The 21,933-nt window shown below is 42.6% G+C and overlaps 1 protein-coding gene and 1 long non-coding RNA gene across 12 annotated transcripts in view; one reads left to right on the top strand and one right to left on the bottom strand.

The window, feature by feature from the left end:
• IQCH (IQ motif containing H) overlaps nt 1–21,933 on the bottom strand; it is a 247,019-nt gene that overhangs the window by 17,983 nt on the left and 207,103 nt on the right. For 4 of the 10 annotated variants that reach the window (NM_001031715.3, NM_001322475.2, NM_001284348.2 and 1 more), the window contains 2 exons: nt 18,525–18,695; nt 8,004–8,126 (listed from right to left, as the gene is read on the bottom strand). The exons of 1 other annotated variant lie outside the window; for it this stretch is intronic. In NM_001031715.3, the coding sequence (NP_001026885.2) occupies nt 8,004–8,126; nt 18,525–18,695 (294 nt within the window). Of the gene's footprint in view, nt 1–4,686; nt 4,758–8,003; nt 8,127–18,524; nt 18,696–21,933 lie in introns of all 10 variants that reach the window. 5 more of the 10 variants (NM_001322470.2, NM_001322473.2, NM_001322474.2 and 2 more) reach the window with 2 other exon arrangements.
• IQCH-AS1 (IQCH antisense RNA 1) overlaps nt 1–21,933 on the top strand; it is a 118,234-nt gene that overhangs the window by 38,023 nt on the left and 58,278 nt on the right. The window contains exon 3 of one of the 2 annotated variants that reach the window (NR_040051.1): nt 17,084–17,328. This is a non-coding gene — a long non-coding RNA (IQCH antisense RNA 1). The remainder of the gene's footprint in view (nt 1–17,083; nt 17,329–21,933) is intronic. The other variant, NR_040052.1, reaches the window with a different exon arrangement.

Genomic DNA, 21,933 nt, shown 5'->3' with positions numbered 1-21,933 from the left:
AGGGATTTAAACGGCATCCACACACAAATTTTTGGGGCTCACTTCCCTTTGATCACCCTTGTTCTAGGATTTTGGATCTCAAGTCTCAAACAGTTTGACAGTTTTGAACTCCAGGCTTTGTTGCCTCCCAGCACTTTGGGAGGCCGAGGCGGGCGGATCACGAGGTCAAGAGATCAAGGTCATGAGGTCAAGAAAAAAATCTGTTTAGATTTATTTCCTAACACATTTGTAAATGTCCTTTAAAACTTGGGGGAATATGACACTCACCTTAGATGCTTCTGTTCTTTCTTTCTTTAATTTTTTTAGAGATGGAGTCTTGCTTTCTCACCCAGGCTGGAGCGCAGTAGCGCGATCTTGGCTCACTGCAACCTCCAACTTCTGGGTTCAAATGATTCTTGTGCCTCAGCCACCAGAGTATCTGGGATTACAGGGATGGGCCATCACGCCCAGATAATTTTTGTATTTTTAGTAGAGATGGGGTTTCGCTATGTTGGTTAGGGTGGTCTCAAACTCCTGGCCTCAAGTGATCCACCTCAACCTCCCAAAGTGTTGGGATTACAGGCGTGAGCCACTGTGCCTGGCCCTTCTGTTCTTTTAAGGACTGTTTTAGTTGCCCTTCAATGCCTTCAAGCAGTTGTTTTATATATATCTCAAACCAGCCTTTATAATCATTTTTAGTGACAGTTAGTTGGTTACAAGCTACCTTGTCATGGTCAGAATGTCTAGGTTTGGCAGGACATTTATAACTTTCTAAGAAAGGTGACCAGGAGTGTTCTTAGCCCTTATCCAGAGGAAACAACAGAAATGAAAGGCTTACACAAAGCTGTTTTTTCTTATCCCATAAAACAATTCCGTATTTTATTTTATATGTGAGAGATGTAAGAGTCTACCCTTAGGCAGCTCACCAAAGTAAACCTCAATGTTAACAACATTTTCCCCAGGCAACTGCAGTCTACTTATGTACCCCAGAATCTCCCTTGACAATATGCTCATGTGTTACTCCCTGGCTATCAGATTCCCCATTACTGCCCTACTCAGGCCCGTTTCCCACGTAGCATCTTAGGTTATAGATCTTTTTGTTCGTGTTTATCCATCTTTCTCCCCACTCGACGATATTTAAAATTTTACTTCTGTGTAAAATTCTTTTCAAGCTAGTTATTAGAAAGCACCATAATAAATAACTTTTTTGCTAGTAAACTTGCAAAGTGATTTAACATTTTAAGTCTCAGCTTCCTCATTTACAATATCAGAATGAAAATGTCTACCTTTCAAAGTTATTGCAAGAATGAAACAAAATGTGTGAAAATATTTAACAAGGTATAAAATGCTATCAAATAGAAATAACTATGGGTGATCCATGATATCTTCTAGATCAGGTCTGGCTCTCTTGATCTGAAAAGCCATGAACTATAAAGAAAAAAAACAAAATTATCTATTCAGTCCTCACTATTCAAAAACTGGTGGAACAGGACTGGGTAACTGCAATAAATACTTCCATTTGGAAAGAGAAACAATGAGAGAGAAACAGAAGACAGGGCTTTGTAGTAATTCTGAAATCCCACTGGGCAGACATTTCCAGGGCCCCTATCCTTTGGTGGGAAATGTTCCTTGATTAGTTCTGATCCCAATTGCTTCATGAGCATAGACGCTATTCTTTGTGGTCCTTGACTCTGCCTTCTGAGATTTTATTTCTTTTCCATAATTGTCCTTGGGCCACATCTGAAGTGGATATTAGAGATTATATTTTCCTCAGCAATTTTTTAAGAGATGGGATCTTGCCATGTTGCCCAGGCTGGTCTTGAACTCCTGGCCTCAAGTGAGCGGTCCTCCTGCCTCAACCTCGTGAGCAGCTAGGATTACAGGCACAAGCCATCCTTAGCAATTTTAAAACTTTCTCACCCACTTCCTGCCTGTAGATAGTTGAGGGCCCAAGGGTTGTTTTAAGTCTTAAGCAGCAACAGTCTCTTTTAATCCAGACTGAGATTTCTCTTGATGTTGAGTTCTTTCAAGAACTTAGTTGGTTTCTAATCTGTTTGATTTCAATCAGCTACAAGTAGCAATAGCTACAACATGGAGTTCTTTTCTAGATACTTCTTAAATTTTCTATATTTCTTTGCTTTCTTGCTTCTATGCCTCTCTCTTAATTTCAGTTATCTTAAGCCTATGAGGCTTCAGTAGGAGAGCTATACCCTTTTTCTTTTTACCCTTTTGTTCTGTTCTCTTTTTCCTGAGAGAGTCTCTCTGAATGCAAATATGTACTTGATATGGTTTGGCTGTGTCCCCACCCAAATTTTATTTTTAATGTAGTTCTCATAATCCCCACGTGTCATGGGAGGAACGCAGTGGGAGGTAACTGAACCATGGGGGTGGTTACCCTTACACTGTTCTCATGATAGTGAGTGAGTTCTCACTCAATCTGATGATTTTATAAGGGGATGTTCCCCCTTTGCTCGGCACTTCTCTCTCCTGCCATTTTGTGAAGAAGAATGTGTTTGCTTCCCCTTTCGCCATGATTGTAAGTTTCCTGAGACCTCCCCAGGCATGCAGAACTGGGAGTCAATTAAACCTCTTTCTTTTATAAATTACCCAGTCTTGGGTATTTCTTTATAGCAGCATGAGAACAGACTAATACAGTACTGGATGCCATAATCTTTGTTGGATTCATACTCTGAGATACTTTAATTCAGAGGTTTTAATAGTAGGTTATAGTCATACATTTAATTTGACTCATATTGCAAGGCTGAGTTTTAATTGGCTTTGGTTGTGTAAATAAATGCCTCTTCAATTTTTAAAAGTCTCATTTTTGAGGTTTAAAATCAGTTCAGCTTTTCCCATTTTGCAAAGTGCCAAATTTCTGAGATCTCTCTATTCCCTTTCCTTTCTGCTTGCAAGATGTCTGATTCATTCAGAAGCTCATATTTTTTGTATAATACCTTGCCAAATGCAGTCGGCAATGCCTAATATACACCATTAACACTAAAATTTCCAACTGTTTCTCCTAGAGCTGTAGGTACATTAGGTATATTATTTGCCTTCCAAGTAATTGCAGGTATTAGTTTTGCCAAATATTTCACCACTTCATAATTTCACTTCATAATTTCATAAATTCACTTCATGAATTGTCATCCTTCTGCTTTCCGTTAATAGTTTCCCAGCCACTCATTGCCTGACTACCAAGCCAGTACCAAAATTTTAGGTTTCTGTTTTAGGAGCATCTTCTTTTGATACTAATTTCAGTATAACCTGATTAGGCTGGGTTATGTTGCAGTAATTCAACAAAATTACTGGTTGTTTCTAACAATGAAAGTTGCAGTTCTTGGTCCTGCTCCATTTCCCACATGAGTTGGTATGGGTCTTTGATCACTGTGAGTACACGCAGGGACCCAGGCTGAAGGAGGCTCTGTCTCAATGTGTTTCCATGATTTCTAAGGCAGGAAAAAGGATATGGCAACTCAGGAAGTGGCTCCTACAGGCTTCTGCATAACAAGGACACGTATTACCTCTGCTTATATTTCACTGGCCAAAGCAAGTTATGTGGCCATGCCCAACTTCAGGAGGAGGGCTGAGGAAATACAGTTTCGTTATGTGCCTGGAAGGAGGAGAATCAGAATATTTGTGAGCAGCTCAGATGATTCCCACCATGGCAATACCCTGGCCAGAGGAAATGATTGCTGGTGACTGTGGAGCTATTTAGGATGGTGGCACATTGCCTATGTATGTGTGACACTAGCCCTGCCCCACACTGGTGCAGGCAGTAAACATGACGCCTTTCTCCATATGGCTTTCATTACAACTTCATTTCATTAGGAAGTCAGTGGGGGTATTCTGTAGCATTAGAGAAATACCCGGAATGAGACCCACCAAGTTGCTTACAAACTCAGCAATGCTCCCTTCCCATATGTGTCAAGGAAAAATAAACTCATAGAGTGATCTCATTTCCCTTTTTTCCCCCTGGGACTTTGGACAAGAACATCATTTGAAAAGTCTGTGATCATAATGGGAAAACAGTGCTGAGAATAAGGACTTTTGAGGATTCTTCTTTTGGTAGCACTGACAATGATGTGTTATTAATGTTGCTTTCTTTTTCTGGAACGAGCACCCATGTTAAATTCAACCAAGAGTGGGAGCAGGTTACTCTGGAATTTAGGTAAATGATCTTGTTTTTAGACTCAGCATAACCCAAACAGGCAATAAAATTTTAGGGAAATTAATTGTTAAACTTTTTTTTCTCCTTTTTAATGTAGAGATAGTCATAGGGGCTATGAAAAGAAGTCTGTGTTTCTCCAGCTGAAGAATACATAAGAGGTACCTAGAGGGGATATATTGGAAATGGATTCCAGAATTCTTCTTGACTGGGTTGGTAATATTTTAGAAATAGAGACAGTTGGTGGGAAACAGTCCTTAGGGGGAAAAGGGCTTATATAGGGGACACCTTGTGTAAGACGAAGAATCATGCTTGACTTTGTAGACAATTACGGGTTCAAATGTCAGTTCCACAAAATTCCTGGCTGTATGACCCTGGGAAAATGCTTAAAATCTTTAAGCCTAAAGTCCTCACTGTAATATGGTAGAAATAACACCTTCTTATAGGACAGGCATGAAGAATAAATGAGATAATGAAGTAAAGTGCTCAGCTCAGAGGCCAGTACGCAGTAGGCACTCCATAAATGCTGGTTCACCACTTACCAACCTCCCATCCAAGAAAAGGCAATTAAGACAGCAAGTGAAGAGTCCTGACCAGGGATGGACACCAGGGTCTGAAAAGATGAAAACTCATCTCAGGAAAAATAAAGCAAGGATACTGCTGGAGAATTTTTGTGACTCAACTTCTTCCCTCTTTTCTTGTACTTCTGTTTATTATCTGCGCCTTTTCTTTTTTCATTTCTTTCTTTTTTTTTTGAGACAGAGTCTTGCTCTGTCACCAGGCTGGAGTGCAGTGGCGCAATCTCGGCTCACTGCAACCTCTGCCTCTTGGGTTCAAGCCATTCTCCTGCCTCAGCCTCCCGAGTAGCTAGGATTACAGGCGCCTGCCAACACACCCAGCTAATTTTTGTATTTTTAGTACAGACGGGGTTTCACCATGTTGGCCAGGATGGTCTCGATCTCCTGACCTCGTGATCTGCCCGCCCTGGCCTCCCAAAGTGCTGGGATTACAGGCATGAGCCACCGTGCCCAGCCTATCTGTTCCTTTTCTTTCTGATTATCCCCTCCTCCTCTTTTAGTGGATTCTCTCAGTCTCTGGATTTTCTCCTCTCTCTTCTCTTATCTTTTTCTTCTTTGCATTGTTTCATCATCTGTTGCCCCAATCTATATTTCTTCTTCTCTCTCATTTTATCTTTCATCTTTTTTTAAGTTGTGCATGGATGGCCTGGAGGTGAGTCTATGGAACTCTGCTGGAAGTGTCTTCGGTGCCCCTCTGTCTGCCTTTTCTTTTTTTGAGACAGAGTCTCGCTCTGTGGCCCAGGCTGGAGTGCAGTGGCACGATCTTGACTCACTGCAACCTCTGCCTCCTAGGTTCAAGCGATTCTTCTGCCTCAGCCTCCTGAGTAGCTGGGATTATAGGTGCATGCCACCACGCCCAGCTAATTTTTGTATTTTCAGTAGAGACGGAGTTTCACCATGTTGGCCAGGCTGGACTCGAACTCCTGACCTCAGGTGATCCACCCACCTCGGCCTCCCAAAGTGCTGGGATTACAGGCATGAGCCACCGTGCCCAGCCTCTGTCTGCCTTTTCTGTAGCTGTCTTCAGTGAGCTCCCTGACCCTCAGTAGAACCTTCTCCTCTGCGCCATCCACCTGCTTCCCTCGGCGTTAGCCATCTGTTTCCCCTATAAAATCTGCTCTTGGAAATAGATCCGATCAACTCAGAGACAAAGGAGTAAATAACTTATAAAGTTTGGTGCTTTACTTACCCCAAGGGTACTTGAACTTCAGTCAAATACAAAGTCTTAAGCCCAAGAAATAAATCTCTAATAATAATTTCAGGCAATAGAAAGTAATGAAGCACTTTTGTGTGGGGGGAAGGGCAGGAGACTGTCCCTGCCAAATATGCCTTTTTACAGAGTTGTTCTACTTTGATATTTTAGAATAAAATAAAATAAATAAATTCAGATAAACCTAGAGTTAGATTTAGCCACTTTCTGGAATGTGGAAGTGTTTTATCTCATCAGTTTGGGGTTAAAATCTATTTAATTCCAAAGGGATTGTGTGTAGCAGATGCAACAATTAATTTCAGGTAAATCAGTTCAATCTGGCTTCTTCATTCTCTCTTTATCAATTTTAATGTAATTTGCAAGGGGATCCAAGCTCCACTTTATGTGTCTGCAAACAGCACGAATTCATCTAACCAAAGAGTCTCATGTGCCCTGACAGTGCCTGGCAGCCTGCTGGGGATTGCCAAGTGTCAGCCAGACCATTCTATTCATTTGGCCTCGTGCTGAAGGTCTGCATGCTTTTTAAGAACGTATAAAATTTGGGGCTGGGCGCGGTGGCTCATGCCTGTAATCCCAATACTTTGGGAAGCCGAGGCGGGCGGATCATGAGGTCGAGATCAAGACCATCCTGGCCAACATGGTGAAACCCTGTCTCTACTAAAAATACAAAAATTAGCCAGGCATGGTTGCACGTGCCCGTAATCGCAGCTACTCGGGAGGCTGAGGCAGGAGAATCACTTGAACCCAGGAGGCGGAGGTTGCAATGAGCCAAGATTGCACCACTGCACTCCAGCCTGGTGACAGAATGAGACTCTGTCTCAAAAAAAAAAAAAAAAAAAAAAAAAGAAGAAAAAGAAAATAGAATGTATAAAATTTGATCCTTGAAAATTGTACTGGTCTCAAGTATAAAGAATATAAGTTAATAAATGTAGAACTGAATATCTACAAATCAAAACATCTGATCAACTGGTTACTACTCAATTCTTATGTCATTATATATACCTTATATTTAATGTGGGAGATGAATATATTTTAAGATGTTTGAGGTGCTGTAAAGTGGGTCTTCCATAAGTAAGAGTGTACAGGGTTACTCAGGGTCTTAGAATGGCCCTGCGTGTGAGAGACTTGAAAATCTGAATCAAAGTAGAAAAACATGAAACTATTTTTCTGGAGTAACATGAGTCTCTAGGCATAAAACAGAGGTTCTATTTTTGGCAGGAGACGTTGCATTGCACTTGCCTCTAGTCAGCTACATCAGGATAAAGCAGCTATGCAGGGGCCCCCGGTATCATTGGAAATAGACCAAAAGTAGAGAAAATGGTTTTTATCAGAACTCCCTTCAGAAATAAATTATCAAATATCAGTAGGAGGATGCTATGGACTGAATTGTGTCCTGACCTTCCAAGTGACTGTATTGGAGCTAGGGCCTCTAAGGAAGTGATTAAGGTTAAATGAGGCTGTAGGTGTGATGCTTTGATTGACGGAACTGGTACCTTGTAAAAGAGACAACAGAGATCTCTCTCTCTCTCCTTCCATATGTGAGGACACCGCAAGGAGGCAGCCATTTACAAGCCAGGAAGCAGGCCCTCACCAGGAACCAAATCTGCTAGTGCCTTGTCCTTGGATGTACCAGCTGCCAGACAGTGAGAAAATACGCTTCTGTGGCTCAAGCCATTTAGCTTGTGCTATATTGTTATGGCAGCCCCAGCAGACTAAGACAGAAGCTATTCATTGATAAGCAGCTTTGGGTGGGATCAGGAAGCTCAGGGCCTGCTTCAGGATCATGAGGTGGTCCCCAAAATGCCTCCTAAGTCTGGAGAGCTTGCATGGCTTCTGCTTTAGCAAAGTGGGTGTGTAAGATTGGAGACGAAGTAGAACTTTCCAGGACTATGTGCTACTTTCTGTGGAGTTGCGTATCTGCTCTTCCCCAAGCAGCAATCAGCCTTCCTCTACAGACACGTCAAACCGGTATTTAAAGAATATCTATCTGAAGGGGCACCAAATTATTAGCTACCTAGATCACCCACAGGCATGTCTTTGGCCGCCCCTGGCCAACTGTAACCCTTCATACCTCAACATCATAGCCAATGCCATGGGCCCTACAGATCTGGAGAAAAACATAGTGGAAAACCAGTGAGAGATTGCTGTGTCTTAGCTGGGTGGTCATCACTGCATAGCGACTGGTTGCCAGCATCTGGAAAGGAGCACAACTGAATATTAAACAGATATTTAAATAAACTTGTAATTTTGGAATACTTGAGATTAACAGGAAAATTGCGAAGATAATTCTGAGAGTTCCTATATCCCCCACACCCAGTTCTCCTATTGTTAACATCTTACATTGCTGTGGTACATTTGTCACAACTAAGGGAACAAATTGCTACATTACTTTTTATTTTTATTTTATTTTTTGAGACAGGGTCTCACTTTGTCACCCAGGCTGGAGTGCAGTGGCACAATCTGGGCTCACTGCAACCTCTGCCTCCTGGGCTTAAGTGATCCTCCTGCTTCAGCCTCCCAAGTAGCTGGGACTACAGGTGCATGCCACCACACCTGGTTAACTTTATTATTTTTTTGTAGAGACAGGGGTCTCACTATGTTGCCCAGGCTGGTCTTGAACTCCTAGCTCAAGCGATCTGCCAGCCTCGGCCTCCCAAAATGCTGGAATTACCGGCGTGAGCCACCACACCTGGCCCTACATTACTATTAACATAAATCCATACTTTATTTCTATTTCATTAGTTTTTCCCTAATTCCTTTTTTCTGTTTCAGGACCCCATCTGAGACACTGCACCGTAACTAGCTGTCATATCTCCTTAGGCTTCTCTGGCCTGTGACGGCTTCACAGACTTTCCCTGTGGTTTGATGATCTTAACAGTTCCGAGGAGTAATGGGCAAGCATTTTGTGAAATCTCTCTCAATTTCAGTTTGTCTGATGTTTTTCTCCTGATTAGACTGTAGTAATGTGTTTTTGAGAGGAAGACCACGTGGGCAAACTGCCATTTTCCTCACTTCATATCAAGGGTAGATAGATGGTATCAGTGTGACTTATCACTGATGATGTTAACCTTTATCACCTGGCTACAGTGGCTTTTGAAGCTTGTGAAAAAACTTTACAGATTTCTCTGCTGTAAAGATATTTTCCCACTCTTCCCATACTTTAACCTTTGGCAGCAAGTCACTGGGCATGGACCACCTCCTTGAGGTGGCCAACATTAGAAATTTGATGCTGCTTTCTTTGGGGAAACGGCTCTTCTTTATCTTGCTTGTCTATCAGTGAAAGCCATGCCAAAGAGATTGGTGATAGTAGGCCCAAAGTGCTGTCATTATGTATTTCCTGAAAACATTTAAAATTTAATATGTACCAGATAAAGAACTGGATCCTGGCAGTTTTATAGCATGTTCTTTTTGAGATGTGATATTTGCCTTAGTCAATCAGCTGTTTTTCTCTAGATAGCTGGAAATTTGGAGAACTGCATATAGGGCCATGGCCAACCTTAGGGCATAGAAGATAAAGGTGCCTGGCTTGGCTCTTGAACTGTGGTGACGCACAGGTGCTGGGCAACTAGGTACCCAGACTTATGCAGTGACCTGGAAAAGGAGTAGGCAAAGGAGGTGCTGCTGGTCTGGAGCTGGCCGTAAGGAATCGTAGTGACCTGACATGCATTATAATCAGGCCTCTGGCTCGCCTCCTGTCTCTGAGATAACGCAAGGGAACTGGGGCTGACTGAGTGCTCTGCAGAGAATAGACCTCCTTTCCTCTCCTGCATCCCTCTCTCCCTCTCCACACACACACACACACACACACACACACACACACACTCAGATTTCGTGGCACTTTTGGTGACATGCTCCCCTCACACATGATGGGGGGAGCATGTTTTTCTTCAACATTTACATCAAGTCCTGTGTCCGAAGGTCACATCATCAGTGCCACCAGTTAAGGCTGCTCATCCTAAATGCAAGTGGAGTCCACATCTACAGACGAGTTAGGCCCCCACAGGCTAATACATCTTGAGTTGTTTACCCCACTTGTAGCGTCCCATTTGTAGCCATTGGGATTTTTCTAACAACAGAAAATTGATTTGATCCTCATATGCCTCACTACTGTACTCTGTCACCCTGACCTATCATGAGTTGTTCCCTTGGTCATCTGCCCTCCATGACTGGGAGTTTTCTGAGGGCAGGCGCTGTTTGGTTTCTGAATCTCCAGTTTGGGCATGATACCAGCACAGAACAGGCACTTGGTGTTTATTAAATAAAAGAGAATGAATACATGAAATAGATTAGGTGGATAGCTCTTCCCTCTGACTTAAGAGACTCTTCAAAGTATGTAATTTAAGAAAGACACTGCCCATTGATAAATGCTTTGGAGCAAAAGCAGGTGATTATTACATGGCACAGGGGACAGTCACACCATCCTTAGAGAAGGACAACTCAGGGCAGTTGCTCCGGGCCTTGCCTGCTGGAGGACAGCATGGCTCTGGTGGACTAAGCAGGAATAATTGGTGGGGTAAAAAGAACTGGCTTGGAGAAGTTCTGGCCCAGCTAGCTAGTCTGTCTGGAAGGGCATGGCCACAAGGCCTGCTCGCCCTGCCATACTGGGCTGGCCATGCTCTCACCTTCACACTGAAAAGCCCAGAAGCATGGGCTTTTGCACATGGAAGTGAACTGTAAACACTCTCAAATTCCATTGTGGTTACTGAGCATGTAATTGCATGGTAATTGCCATGAATTCACAAGATAATTCCAAGGTTATTTTTGTCTTCTAAACTTGTCTGATGCTGCCATAGTATATAAACAAGAAAAACCAAGACCAGACCCCAGCCAGCAAGAGAGGTAGGCAGGCAGGCATGTGGTAGCACAATCTAGCAATACTATGTATCTTGGCTCCAAAGCACAGCAGAAGAGCTTACTGTCCAGTAGTACATGATTACTAGACAACATGTAAGGGCAGGCTACCCTGAGGTTTCTTCTTCACTACAGATGCAGAGTGCAACTCCCCTTCCTCCCAGACTGGGGTTTGTGATGCATAAAGAATCTGAAGGAAGAGCCAGGATATTTGGTACATGTCTCCCAACCTTCTTTTCCATAACCATCACCATCCTAGTCCAGACCTTTATTGCCTGGAGAGTCAGAGGTGAGGATACAAGCAGAATTCTGCAGTGGAAAGGTTATATGGAGTGAGAAAGAAGTTCAGAACCTGACAAGGCCACTTACTGTGTATGTGATCTTGAACAGATCATTGAAATTCTGTCTTCTGATGATTAAATAAGCACCTACTGCAGTGCCTGGAACCTGATAAATGGTAGCTACTATTTTTGTTGTCATTCCTTTGAAAGGATTTTGGATCTACAATAAATGTAACTTCCCAGGCTGTTTTTTCCCCTACTCTTCCCCCATCTCCTGGGATTCTGAACAGTATCACCGGATTAATCATTTCCCCCTAACACAGGTTGGTCTGTGTCATCCTCCTATTCAGAAATATTCAGGCCTTTTTGCCTTCACGGTGAAATCTAGACCCTGGTGTGGTGGGTAGACCTCCCCAAACTTGCTCAGTGCACCCTTCCAACTACTTCTCCTGCTTCCCACTTCCCCAGTTCTGTGCTCCAGTCTGACTGGTTCACTGCCTTTTCCTAGCAGACCACAGGTTTCTTTGGACTCTGTCCCATCTGCTAGGGGACGTCCTCCCCTCCTCGCCAGTTAGTGACTGTTCTAGTCTTTAAGGCAGGATAAAGTTCTGTGTTTTCATTAAAGTGTTCCCTGTCCCTGTCAGTCCATGGTCATTTCCCCTGAGAACTCTGGCAGCAAGCTGAGGGTCTGTCACTCAAATGGCATTTATCCATGTGTATGTTATCTATTTTAATAGCAACATCTCTCTCTCTCTATGGCCTTTCTTTTCAGCTCCTCAAGGATAGGGACTTTGTCAATTATCTTTGTCTCCTGATGCTTGGTGAAAGTCCTGGCACATATTAAGTGCTAAATAAATGCATTAGAATAATACTTACAAGATACAACTACTTTTTAGAAGACCTAGCCAACTGCACAGTTTCTACAGGAAGAAACTATCAATCACCTAGGATTGTCTTATGTCCAGCCTGATAGCACAAGTGAATAGCATAGGAGTATTGAGAGGAGGATTAGATGAGAATGTAAAGACCTTGGAATAGTGTCTGGCACACAGTAAGCTCTCAATAAATGTTAGCAATTATTTTCACATATTAAACTAAATAGTTTCAAAGATAAGGTCAATTATTTCAAATTAAAACTGACCAACTAACCAATAAACCTTTTCATCAGAAGGTGACTTGAATCAGAAGACCTGGGCTTTGCTATGTACCACCTTTATGACTTGGGCAGCTCACTTAACTTTGCTTAGCCTCAGTTTCCTATTCTGTAAAATGTATATAATAATCCTTAACATCGATTTCTTGGGGTTATCATGGGGATCAAATAAGCTCATGTATAGTTAAAGTATAAAGCATTATACAAATAGAAAACATTATTTTCTATTAAAAGGTTGACTTGTAAAAACTAGTCTCTTCTGATGCTGTACAATTTATGTAGGTTTGATAAGGATCAAAAAAGAAATAATGATTTGGAAATATCTATTGAAATTAAAAATTTTAATTTTTATGGGTTATGTCCTTTGAGCCAAAATTCCACTTTATGGTATGTATTCTAAGATATACCTTAAATGTGCCAAATGATATATACACAAAGTTATTCATTGCAGCACTGTAATATGAAAAAACTGAAAACAACCCAAAAATCTACCGATGGGGGAAGGGTACATAAATTATGGCACATCCATGCAATGAAATAACATGTTGCTGTAAAAAAGAAATGATACTGCTCAGGTGTCTGAATCTGAAAAAAAAGAAATGAGAACATTTTTAATGAAGTGTTAGAGAAAGCTCTCCAAAGAAAAAAGTGAGATTCAGAACAATATGTATTATAGGCTACATTTTGGGTATAAAAGGGGGAAAAGGATCACCTGTATGTGTATTTACTTGTATATGTAAAAAGATGCTCTGAAAGGATATATAGACACAGAATGGTGGTTACCTTTGTAGGATGAGGTGGGAACTGATCAATGGAAAGGAGGTTTGTCCATGTGTGACTGTTTCCACCTTTTGCCTTTTGAACCATGTGAATATATTATGTATTTCAAAGAATTAAATGAGAACCCCATTAAACTTGATTTTGAAGACAAGAGTTGAAGATGTATATTTCATGCATATTTTTAGTGTGTGAACTGTTTATTTTTTAAAAAACATAGTCAAGCTTTTCTAGATGGTTCATAGTATAAGTGACATGCTCTTTTCCATGCCGTGTTATTTGCTTGGAAATCTGTGCTATGTATAGGAAACCATGTCCAGTTACATGTTCTTTTTAAAATCTAAGACTCCAGCCAGGCGCAGTGGCTCACGCCTGTAATCCCAGCACTTTGGGAGGCTGATGGGGGCGGATCATGAGGTCAGGAGATCGAGACCATCCTGGTCAACATGGTGAAACCCCGTCTCTACTAAAAATACAAAAAAATTAGCCAGGCATGGTCGCGGGCGCCTGTAGTCCCAGCTACTCGGGAGGCTGAGGCAGGAGTATGAACCTGGGCGTGAACCTGTGAGGCGGAACTTGCAGTGAGCCAAGATCGTGCCACTGCACTCCAGCCTGGGCGACAGAGCGAGACTCCGTCTCAAAACAAACAAACAAACAAAAAAACCCTAAGACTCCTCTATGAACATCCGGTCCATTTAGTGCTTCTGTGTGAGACTCAGAAGCTGAGGCTGAGCTCAGAGCAGACGAGAAGCCAATGGATAATGGCAATATTCCTGGAGACAACCTCGTCACACAGGGAAGTACATCCTCTTTTCAAAGAAGAGCTTTCTCTATGGCCTCAACAAGGGACTTCTTTAGGGATGAGCACAAGCTCCACTCTGGGGCTGGATCACTGATTCTCAGCTGATGCAAGGCAGGTTGGAATGTGTCACAGTTAAACACAGGCCGAGGTTAAATCTTGGCTTCCCTACTTGCTTGCCTACTGACCTTTAACAAATTGCTTAACATCTCTTAACCTTGTCTTCCTATCTAAAAATGGGCATAATAACAGCACCTGCCTAATATATTGGACTGCAAAAAGATTCATGGAAAGCACTTAGTAAAGTACTCGGGGTGGAGTAAAGGCTCTGTGTCCTTTGGTAAACTGGAGGGCTTTGCTACTCACCCTTATATCCTCTGTGCTTAGTAGAGTGCCTGGCACAAAATAGGCATTGGGTAAGTATCTGCAGAATTTACTTCTAGTTGATTCTTGCTGAAAGTAGTAACTGATGGTTAAGGTAAAGGCTGATGAGAACTTAGGATATGACCTGTCACAATATTACTCCTTTCTAAAAGATCCTGCAAGAAAAAGACCTTTTAAGCGAAGGCTGTAGTATAGAGGGATGGGCCCTTCCTGTGTCCCCGTACAGGAGATGTCCCTTCCTTCAGCCATCCGCAACACATGAGGCTGCCTGGGCCAGGCTTGGTGCAGAGTCCCTTTCTGTAGGCCCCGTAAGATCAAATCCCCCAAGTGACCCTGGGGATCATGTAGCCCTCCTTTATTTTAGAAATGAGGAAACTGAGGCCAGAAGAGAAGATCAGAACTCATGATCCCTAACTCCCAGACCAGTACTCTTCACTCCAAATGTCCAGTGACCACATTTGGAATAGGTGGGAATTTCAGAGGTTAGCCTTTTCTAGTAAAACAGGAGAAAAAAAAAGACAAAATATTCTTGGTAGAAGTCTAGTCTTATTAAACTACCTTTCTAAATCACAATTTAACAAGAATGCTTCAAGCTAAATAAAGGAAGCTCAAAATACTCCTTTTCACTGGATAATATAATTTTGCTTCAGCCACAATTTAAATTGATTTAGTTCTGAGCTCCAGCACTTGAAGTGTGGAACATATTGTATTTTCGCCATGATACTTGTTTTGACAGTGATGCATTTCAGTTGACATAGTTGAAATCCTTATGTAATAAATCTCTGCCTGAAAATTAATCATGTTTATAATATTCTGAGAATTAATAACACCCATTGCTCAAATCATTAACTTAAAAAAGGAGCTTCCAAAATCTGTTCTCGGCAGTAAGGGACCACAAATAAATGAATGTTTGATAAAATAATCCAAGTAGCAGTTTAACAAGCGTAAACTTGAATGTGGCTGCAATAACACAGAACTATTGTTTAAGGGTTGGCAGAGGCTGATGAGGTTCTTATTTCAGTTACGAAGCAGGCATCCACATGCATAATGAACTGCTCTCTGAATTATTAATGTGTTGCTTATTTAGCCTCATCTGTCTAGAAGATAATGTATCCTAACTCTAATGAGTGATTGGTTTTGTACATAATTACAGTAGCAGCAGTAGCAGGGAAATGTGTGCCTTCAAAGAAGGAGTTCTAAAAATAAAGTCATCACATAAACTCTGCTGTTGTTGCATTCTATCAAAATCAAACCCGAAGCATTTGAGAATTTATAATAAATTACAGGAGACAGAATCATTATTAACATCATAATTTAACACAAAAGGTTTTACTTAATCATTCATTACAGATCATGTGCTGCTAAAATGTGTATAAATGACTTGGGTTGTGTTAAGATGTTTGCAAAGATGTTCCCTTTTGGACACTCACCAACCATGGTATGGAGGGTCCAGAAAGAGCGAGGAAGAGTGAAAAACTGACAGAAAAGGGTAATGATTGATGCCGGTTTGGACAGAACATTAATTGAAAGTTAAAACACTGTTAGGCGATTCCTTTTCATTTCTAAAACACGCACGTCTGGGATTTATCAGGCCTTGTTTACACCTTCAAGTGGTTCTTTGTGGAGGTCAGTGAATCAGAAACCCATTCACCTGGTCTAAATGGGTCTGAGTGACAGTTCTCCCACCTGTTTCTGAGATGAGACAACAGCTCTTCTGAGAGCCCAGGAAGGTGTTTGCTTTCCTTCTATATAGCATATTATTAAAGAAAAGGGCCCACACTGGAAGCATTTTATAGGCATTAGTTTTGAATGCGCTCTCATTATCATTGTGGTTTCATCTGTGCATTTTCTTCTCCTTCAGTCTTCAAAGGGGGCTGTCAACTGCCTGATCATAAACTTGACGGCATCATAGTCTGTTCACACTTGTTCAGGAAGCTTCGATTTGCTTGTGAGTTGTACCGCGTGTGCATGTGCACATGCTTCTTTTTAAAAAAATCGCTGATCATATGTGTACACATGCACAGGAGGGTGTGTGCACAACCCAAGCATAGTGGCACAAGGGTGGGAACATCTGTATCTTTCTAAAATGAAAAGCCCTTTCAATTTATTCCTACACCAGAAAACCTGCATAGCTTTTCTCTAGTGATTTAAGAGGTATTGGCCTTATTGAAGATCATAATGCCTCCCTTTTGTGTGCATGCACTTCCTAAAAATGTTTAAGACTTGATCACAGGAGAATGTTGCCTATAGCTAGGAATGAAACCTATAGGCAACATGGGGAAAATGGAAGAGTGCTTCTCACTCAAAGCACAACTTCTGCTGATAGCCTTCTGAAGCAACATACTTCAAAGCTGCAATTGTCTTTGGAAGTCTTGTGCTGAATACCACTCTGCTTCCAGCTTTATTTTTATTTTTATTTTTTGAGACAGAGTCTCACTCTGTCAACTAGGCTGGAGTACAATGGCGCGATCATGACTCACTGCAGCCTCGACCTCCAGGGCTCAAGTGATCCTCCTGCCTCAGCCTTCCCAGTAGCTAGGATTATAGGCATGCACCACCATGCCCGGCTAATTTTTGTATTTTTGTAGAGACAGGGTTTTGCCATGTTGCCTAGGCTGGTCTAGAACTCCTAGGCTCAAATGATCTGCCCGCCTCGGCCTCCCAAAGTGCTGGGATTACAGGCGTGAGCCACCACACCTGACCCCCAGCTTCTTGCAGAAATGGCATAGACTTAGGTTCACTGGCCAGAAGGGCTCAAGTGTCACTGCTGTTTCTCCCTCTAGCACTGAACATAGGGTCTCTCAGGTCTCTTTGGTGAGGATGGAGGCCACAGGTGGAGATGGACCTGAAAGCCTCTTAGCAAGGTCCTGGGTCATAATTAAAAGAGGTCTGTTTCTCCTCTCCAGCTCAACTCTGCTTCTCTTCTTACTAAGGAAAGAGATCAAGGGGATTCTTGTGAGCAAGGTTCTTCCTGGTACCTGATTGGGCAACTGGATGAAGAAGAGGGAAAGGAAAAAGCTGCCTGAGCCCCCCAAGACATCAGGTGCCCTCCTTATGGTGACTGCAGAGATCCTGGGAAGAGTCAAAGGTTATTCAAATCCAGACTGGACCCAAAGGGGTTCACAGAGAGGCAGGAGACCGCTTGGAAAAGGTATCTCTGGGACACTCATGTTGGGTCCCATTAATCACTAGAGTTCCTCTTTTATCTGTTTGATATATTTGGATTTCAAGTAGAGCTTCATTTGCAAAAAAGTATGAAGCCCACTGTTGTAAGGAAAGGCCAAAGAAACCCTCTGGCAGCTGTGAGAGCACCGTGGCCAGAGAGTCCCCAATACACTCTTGCACAAAGGGCATCTGGTCCCCTTGGCCTTTGTTCTCTCTCTCCATGACCAACCTAGCCTACTCAATCAAGCACCCACTGTCCCCATGGGGCTATGCCCTTTGTTACTCAGGGTGCTGAGGTTGGTAACCCGCAGCCAGCCCCAGGACTCTGGCCCCAGCCCCCTCACTGATGGAGCTAGCAATAAGAAGGGAGGAGGCGGCAGCTGTGGGAAGAGGTGGAACATGATGGGGCTCCTTAACCAAGCTGGGAAATGGGATTTTCCTGAAGATCACAGGAGTCCATTCAAAATCACACACAGGGGAACAACATGCTCAGACTGGCTTTTCACCTTGCCACCTTGGCTGCCGTGTCTGTTTAGGCTGAGGGCACAGGCAGGGACAGGGAATCTTAGGAGGAATACAGGTGTGAGATGGTGGAAGCCGACACTAAGACACTATCTTTGTGGAGAGAGAGGAGGGGTCAGGTTAGTGGCATTTTCGTAGCTAGACTCAACACGCCCTGCTTGCTGACTGGATGTGGGGCTGGGGGTTATCTTATCAGCCTCTGGCCTGATCCACTAACAGGAAGTACAGGAGGAAGAAAGACAAATGTGATGCAGTTTTGGATAGCTTGACTCTGAGGATTCGAAGCAGAGATGTTCTATAGAATTTTGGACCCATGAATCTGAAGCTCACAAAAGAGAGTGGGGCTAGAAAAATATGGGTTTTGTGTGAAACAGCTTGTAGTTGAGGCAATGGGTGTAGGTGTACCTGCCTAGAAAAAGGGGAGGAGAGCCCCATGCTCTTTCGCATTTCCACAGATGGCAGGTTCATTCGGGAATGGCTTCTCCCTTTCCTCTGACCAACACATTCGCATTTCCAGACCCTGCTCAGACAAGTCCAATGACTTGCCTTAGGCTCTTTCTTCTTCCTGTACTCAAAGATCCTGGCTCCTAGACAGAGCTCAGGCAGTGGCAGTGGGTGTTGCTGAACACCGAGAACCTTCAGGAAGCACCTCTTGCTTACCGGCATTGACAGCGCACTCATGCATTTGGTTTTCTTCCTTTCCTTTGGAACAAAGCGGGGCACTTCCAGGGTGCTCAAACTGCAATCCAGATGGCCGTTTGTCAGGTATAAGGTGAGTTGAGTCAGGGCCAGCTGGTCACTATATGCGAGGTTAAGGCCGGTTGCCCACACCTGATTAAAACAGGAGCCGTAGAAGTGAGGGTGAAATCAGCAAACAGCAGCGAAGGCCCCACCTCTGCCTAACCAGACCAAACTACATCAGACTAAGTGAAACCAGTGACCATGTGTCTTAATGGAGTAGATGTTTTTCCTTCTGTTTGTACATTGTTCAACTGAGAGATGGAGTCTGATTCTAATCAGAAGATTCAAGGTTCTTGTGGGAAGTTACAGAAATACTTGGCCAAGACAATCTGACAGAGATGCCGAGTCTTGCAAAGCTCATGTTGACTTTGATTTTTCTGCCTATGGCCTGCAGGTCAGTGCAGGTGGTCAGTGCCAGGTTTTCTACTGAGAAAATGAGACTGAAGCTTTGGAGGGTGGGGAACTACAGTAGAGCAGAAAGACGGGAAAAGAGTGATGAATATGAGAAAGGGCAGTTTGCCCTGATTTTGGAAAAAGCAGTGACAGCCCCTCTGGGAGCCTCAATATGATATTTAAGGGAAACTAATGGTTGGCCTCTAAGTCTTAGGTCTACCCCCATTTTCTCATGAGAGTGAAGGGTAATCTTATTTTACCAGTCCTACAATGTCACAGTATTCTCAATTGTCAATTGGTGATAACACCTTATCCTAGCTGTATCACAGTGTTATTAGAAGAATATTATGATGCAATAAAAATAAAAATAAAAATGCTTTAAAAAATAGACATTGGTTATAAGTTAATGTCAACTGCTAGGTAACTGAGTAATGTCCACTAATTCGTTTGACAAATATTTACTGAGCATCTACTATGTGCTAAACTGGCAATGATAAAAGTAGGTCATGTGTTACTTCTTCCCTCTCCTGTGGCAGATCAACCTTAATTGCCCTTGTCATCCCCCATCCCCACACTGAATCCAGAAGCATCCCTGGCATCCTCCTCAGTTCAATGTTCAAGGCATATCATCGTCCTAGTCACTGGAGAGTCAAAGGTAAATAGGCATAGGCCCTGCCATCAAGAAGGTGAAGACAGGCTGGGCACGGTGGCTTATACCTGTAATCCCAGCACTTTGGGAGGCCGAGGTGGGAGGATCACCTGAGACCAGCCTGGCCAACATGGCGAAATGTCATCTCTACTAAAAATACAAAAGTTAGCTGGGCAAGGTGGCGTGCGCCTGTAATCTCAGATACTTGGGAGGCTGAGGCACGAGAATCGCTTGAACCCAGGAGGCAGAGGTTTCAGTGAGCCGAGATCAGACCACTACAGTCCAGCCTGGGTGGCAGAGTGAGACTCTGTCTCAAAAAAATAAAAAATAAAAATAAGAAGGTGAAGACAGATACATACATATCCAATTAAACAATAGAATTTTATATGTGATAAAATAATGGGGTGGAACAAAGTACTACTGAAGCAGAAAGAAAGGACAGACTGGGTTTGTCTAATGAAATCAGGGCTGCATCATGAAGGTGACCTTTGAGCTTTAAACAAGCAACAAAAACACAACTGGTCCCATGTATCAAGTACCTGCAGTTTTTATGAAGCTGGGTGAATCATAAATATCTCAGATCTCTGTGGTAGCCTAAAAAATAACAACCCCATGTCACAGATGAAGAAACTGAGGTTCAGGGAGGTACCCAAATCCACTGAGTTAGGAAGTGGTGGTGTTGGGATCTGAATCCAATTCTACCTGGCTCCAAGTCTACCTTCTTCCCATTCCCTGATTCTGGCCCAGCCAATCCTTATCCTATGTAACAGTTCTCCAGTGAAATTAAAAACTAAAGTTGCAGAGGATCAGAACATGTTTGTGTTTAATATAAGACATGCCATGAAAATGTCTTGTGGAGAAAACATGAAGTATTTCTGGAGTATGCTGTAATTAGCATAATGCATTTTCACTGTAGGAAGTTGGAAACTAACACATTTTCATGAAGACTTGATTAAACAGTTTTTCCTCCTAGAAGGCCTGTATTTACCCCGCTCACCAACTCTGTGTGTTAAAATACATAATACATCTGCCCTAGAGTGGACTCCTGTCAAACAAATCTAGCAGTGAGTGACTTGAGTAAGCATTGAATGTAAATGGCGTCATTATAAGGATATTAAGAGGTCAAGCTGTCAAGGCCCCTTGCTAAACTAAAGCTAATTTCAGGAGTCATATTCGCACAGTAATGCCCTTTTATAATAGCAAATAAATCACATTGCAACAATTGTTAAAAACTAACTGCCAAGTATCTGTTGCAGTTGTAAATATCCTATTTGTCAACTTAAATATTTCCTGCTGTATGGCATGAAATGTAAATCAGATGGGGACAGCTACTTTCCCTTAATATGAGAAAGTGAGCTTGCTATTCTAGCAGGTCAGACTTTTTTTTTTCAGAGTTTCTATTTTGAGGTTTTAGTGTCCTTGATCAAAGGGAAACATACATAACAAACATTATTAATATTTATGTTAATAATATTAATGCTTTGGTAATAAGGATTTTAATAGGAGGCAGCACAGTGTAGGGGAAAGAGTGAGAACCACGGAGTCAGAGAGCTTAAATCTGGACCTCACAGTGGGAACTGCAATGGGTTGGTTAAGCTTTCTCAATCTCAGTATCCTTAAGTGTAAAAGGAGCAAAATCTCAGTATCCTTAAGTGTAAAAGGAGCAAATGATAATACTGACAGGGTTTTAGAAACAAAATAAATGCACGTGAAATTGCCTTATAATTTCTTTCTTTTTTTTTTTTTTGAGATGGAGTCTCACTCTGTCGCCCAGGCTGGAGTGCAGTGGTGCGAACTTGGCTCACTGCAACCTCTGCCTCCCGGGTTCAAGCAATTCTCTGCCTCAGCCTCCGGAGTAGCTGGGATTATAGGTGCCTGCCACCACGCCCAGCTAATTTTTTTGTATTTTTAGTAGAGACGGGGTTTCACCGTCTTGGCCAGGCTGGTCTGGAACTCCTGACCTTGTGATCCACTCTCGGCCTCCCAAAGTGCTGAAATTACAGACATGAGCCACCGCGCCCAACCTTTACTGAACTTTATAAGGTAGGCCGGGCGCAGTGGCTCATGCCTGTAACTTCAGCACTTTGGGAGGCCAAGGCAGGAAGCCACTTGAGGCCAGGAGTTCAAGACGATCCTGGGCAACATAACGAGACCCCAACTCTATTTAATAAAAATAGGGAAATAAATAAAATTAAACAAATAAAGTTCATTACAGATGCTTTTTATGATGACTAAACATTTCCTTTCAGAGCAGATTCTTAGAAGGCACATTGTCCGTTGTCTATG

The sequence above is a fragment of the Homo sapiens genome, chromosome 15 (genome assembly GCF_000001405.40).
Source record: "Homo sapiens chromosome 15, GRCh38.p14 Primary Assembly".
Classification (NCBI taxonomy): Eukaryota; Metazoa; Chordata; class Mammalia; order Primates; family Hominidae; genus Homo; species Homo sapiens.
Note: the sequence above shows the minus strand (reverse complement) of the source record. Positions and strands in the feature narration are given on the sequence as shown.